Source organism: Homo sapiens, chromosome X (assembly GCF_000001405.40).
Source record: "Homo sapiens chromosome X, GRCh38.p14 Primary Assembly".
Classification (NCBI taxonomy): domain Eukaryota; kingdom Metazoa; phylum Chordata; class Mammalia; order Primates; family Hominidae; genus Homo; species Homo sapiens.
The window spans coordinates 85,424,718-85,429,044 of NC_000023.11; the positions used below are offsets into that span (position 1 = coordinate 85,424,718).

Genomic DNA, 4,327 nt, shown 5'->3' on the forward strand with positions numbered 1-4,327 from the left:
TTCTTCTCTCGTTTTATCTTTATTAGTCTTGCTAGTGGTTTATCAATTTTGTTGATCCTTTCAAAAAACCAGCTCCTGGATTCATTAATTTTTTGAAGGGTTTTTTGTGTCTCTATTTCCTTCAGTTCTGCTCTGATTTTAGTTATTTCTTGCCTTCTGCTAGCTTTTGAATGTGTTTGCTCTTGCTTTTCTAGTTCTTTTAATTATGATGTTAGGGTGTCAATTTTGGATCTTTCCTGCTTTCTCTTGTGGGCATTTAGTGCTATAAATTTCCCTCTACACACTGCTTTGAATGCATGCCAGAGATTCTGGTATGTTGTGTCTTTGTTCTCGTTGGTTTCAAAGAACATCTTTATTTCTGCCTTCATTTCGTTATGTACCCAGTAGTCATTCAGGAGCAGGTTGTTCAGTTTCCATGTAGTTGAGCAGTTTTGAGTGAGATTCTTAATCCTGAGTTCTAGTTTGATTGCACTGTGGTCTGAGAGATAGTTTGTTATAATTTCTGTTCTTTTACATTTGCTGAGGTGAGCTTTACTTCCAAGTATGTGGTCAATTTTGGAATAGGTGTGGTGTGGTGCTGAAAAAAATGTATATTCTGTTGACTTGGGGTGGAGAGTTCTGTAGATGTCTATTAGGTCCGCTTGGTGCAGAGCTGAGTTCAATTCCTGGGTATCCTTGTTGACTTTCTGTCTCATTGATCTGTCTAATGTTGACAGTGGGGTGTTAAAGTCTCCCATTATTAATGTGTGGGAGTCTAAGTCTCTTTGTAGGTCACTCAGGACTTGCTTTATGAATCTGGGTGCTCCTGTATTGGGTGCATATATATTTAGGATAGTTAGCTCTTCTTGTTGAATTGATCCCTTTACCATTATGTAATGGCCTTCTTTGTCTCTTTTGATCTTTGTTGGTTTAAAGTCTGTTTTATCAGAGACTAGGATTGCAACCCCTGCCTTTTTTTGTTTTCCATTTGCTTGGTAGATCTTCCTCTATCCTTTTATTTTGAGCCTATGTGTGTCTCTGCATGTGAGATGGGTTTCCTGAATACAGCACACTGATGGGTCTTGATTCTTTATCCAATTTGCCAGTCTGTGTCTTTTAACTGGAGCATTTAGTCCATTTACATTTAAAGTTAATATTGTTATGTGTGAATTTGATCCTGTCATTATGATGTTAGCTGGTTATTTTGCTCGTTAGTTGATGCAGTTTCTTCCTAGTCTCGATGGTCTTTACATTTTGGCATGATTTTGCAGTGGCTGGTACCGGTTGTTCCTTTCCGTGTTTAGTGCTTCCTTCAGGAGCTCTTTTATGGCAGGCCTGGTGGTGACAAAATCTCTCAGCATTTGCTTGTCTGTAAAGTATTTTATTTCTCCTTCACTTATGAAGCTTCGTTTGGCTGGATATGAAATTCTGGCTTGAAAATTCTTTTCTTTGAGAATGTTGAATATTGGCCCCTACTCTCTTCTGGCTTGTAGAATTTCTGCCGAAAGATCTGCTGTTAGTCTGATGGGCTTCCCTTTGAGGGTAACCTGACCTTTCTCTCTGGCTGCCCTTAACATTTTTTCCTTCATTTCAACTTTGGTGAATCTGACAATTATGTGTCTTGGAGTTGCTCTTCTCGAGGAGTATCTTTGTGGCGTTCTCTGTATTTCCTGAATCTGAATGTTGGCCTGCCTTGCTAGATTGGGGAAGTTCTCCTGGATAATATCTTGCAGAGTGTTTTCCAACTTGGTTCCATTCTCCCCGTCACTTTCAGGTACACCAATCAGACGTAGATTTGGTCTTTTCACATAGTCCCATATTTCTTGAAGGCTTTGCTCATTTCTTTTTATTCTTTTTTCTCTAAACTTCCCTTCTCACTTCATTTCATTCATTTCATCTTCCATCGCTGATACCCTTTCTTCTAGTTGATCACATCAGCTCCTGAGGCTTCTGCATTCTTCATGTAGTTCTCGAGCCTTGGTTTTCAGCTCCATCAGCTCCTTTAAGCACTTCTCTGTATTGGTTATTCTAGTTATACATTCTTCTAAATTTTTTTCAAAGTTTTCAACTTCTTTGCCTTTGGTTTGAATGTCCTCCAGTAGCTCGGAGTAATTTGATCGTCTGAAGCCTTCTCTCCGCTCGTCAAAGTCATTCTCCATCCAGCTTTGTTCTGTTGCTGGTGAGGAACTGCGTTCCTTTGGAGGAGGAGAGGCGCTCTGCTTTTTACAGTTTCCAGTTTTTCTGCTCTGTTTTTTCCCCATCTTTGTGGTTTTATCTACTTTTGGTCTTTGATGATGGTGATGTACAGATGGGTTTTTGGTGTGGATGTCCTTTCTGTTTGTTAGTTTTCCTTCTAACAGACAGGACCCTCAGCTGCAGGTCTGCTGGAGTCCTGGGCCCTGTGAGGTGTCAGTCTGCCCCTGCTGAGGGGTGCCTCCCAGTTAGGCTACTCGGGGGTCAGGGGTCAGGGACCCACTTGAGGAGGCAGTCTGCCCATTCTCAGATCTCCAGCTGCGTGCTGGGAGAACCACTGCTCTCTTCAAAGCTGTCAGACAGGGACATTTAAGTCTGCAGAGGTTACTGCTGTCTTTTTGTTTGTCTGTGCCCTGCCCCCAGAGGTGAAGCCTATAGAGGCAGGCAGGCCTCCTTGAGCTGTGGTGGTCTCCACCCAGTTGGAGCTTCCCAGCTGCTTTGTTTACCTAAGCAAGCCTGGGCAATGGCGAGCGCCCCTCCCCCAGCCTCGCTGCTGCCTTGCAGTTTGATCTCAGACTGCTGTGCTAGCAATCAGCGAGATTCCGTGGGCGTAGGGCCCTCTGAGCCAGGTGCGGGATGTAATCTCCTGATGCGCAGTTTTTAAGCCCGTTGGAAAAGCGCAGTATTCGGGTGGGAGAGACCCGATTTTCCAGGTGCCGTCTGTCACCCCTTTCTTTGACTAGGAAAGGGAACTACCTGACCCCTTGTGCTTCCCGAGTGAGGCAATGCCTCGCCCTGCTTTGGCTCACGCATGGTGTGCACACCCACTGACCTGCACCCACTGTCTGGCACTCCCTAGTGAAATGAAGCCGGTACCTCAGATGGAAATGCAGAAATCACCCATCTTCTGCGTCGCTCACGCTGGGAGCTGTAGACGGGAGCTGTTCCTATTCAGCCATCTTGGCTCCTCCCCACTTTTTTCCAGAAAAGATACTTGATATAATCTCTATCTAATCTTCTTAAATTTGGTAAGACTTGTTTTGTAAGCTAGCATGTGATCTATACTGCAAAATGTTCTATATGCAGTAGGGGAGAATGTGTATTCTGCAGCTGTTTGATGGAATGTTTTGTAAAGGTCTGTTAGATCAATTTGGTCTAGAGTGCAGTTTATTTTTTACCTTGTTTTATTTTATTTTTTTTTTAGAGTGCAGTGTAAATCTGATGTTCCTTTGTTGATTTTCTGTCTGTATGATATGTCCGTTGTTGAAAGTGGGGTGTTGAAGCCCCCAGCTACTATTGTATTGCAGCCAATCTCTCCCTTTTGATCAAAAGCATTTGCCTTATGTAGTTAGGTTCTTCAGTTTTGGGTACATATATATATTCATAATTGTTATATTCTCTCATTGAATTGACTTCTTTATTATTATATAATGATATAAAGACTTTCATCTCTTTTTACAGTTTTTGACTTAAAGTCCATTTTATGTCGTGTAAGTATAGCTTCATTAGTTCTCTTTTGGCTTCTATTTCCATGGAATATCTTTGTCCATCCTTTTACTTTCAATCTCTTTGTGTCCCGTAACATGAGTCTTCTGTAGACAATATATAGTTGCATGTTTTGTTTTTTTTTAGTCCATTCAGCCACTCTATGTCTTTAGATTGCATTATTGAATCCATTTACATCAAAAATAATTATTAATAGGTAATGACTTACTACTGCCATTTTGTTCATTGTTTTCTAGTTATTTTGTTGATTCTTTCTTCCTTTTTTTCTTTTTTTCTGTCTCCTTTATGACTAGATATTCTTCATTGGTATGCTTTGATACCCTACTTTTTGTCTTTTGTGTATCTATTATAGATTTTTGCTTTGTGTTTGCCATGAAATATCTGATATTTGCATAAAATATCCTATAACAAGCTATATAAGGCTGATAACAAATTAACAATGATGGTATTTAAAAACTCTATACTTTTATTCCATCCTTCTCTGCTTTATGATATTGATATCAGCATTTACATCTTTTCATATTATGTATTTTTAACAAATTATTGTAACTATTGTTATTTTAATAATTTTGTTTTTAATCTTCATATAGGATATATATATGATTTATACACCAACATTACTGTATTAGAGTATTCTGAATTTAACTGT

The 4,327-nt window shown here is 40.0% G+C and overlaps 1 annotated feature.

Annotated features, from left to right (window-relative positions):
- Nucleotides 2,296–2,848: an enhancer, noted in NCBI's record as "NANOG-H3K27ac-H3K4me1 hESC enhancer chrX:84682018-84682570 (GRCh37/hg19 assembly coordinates)". NCBI's record gives its function as "activates a minimal SCP1, AML or CMV promoter by ChIP-STARR-seq in naive H9 embryonic stem cells {active_cell/tissue: H9 hESC(naive)}" and the evidence as "EXISTENCE:reporter gene assay evidence [ECO:0000049][PMID:30033119]".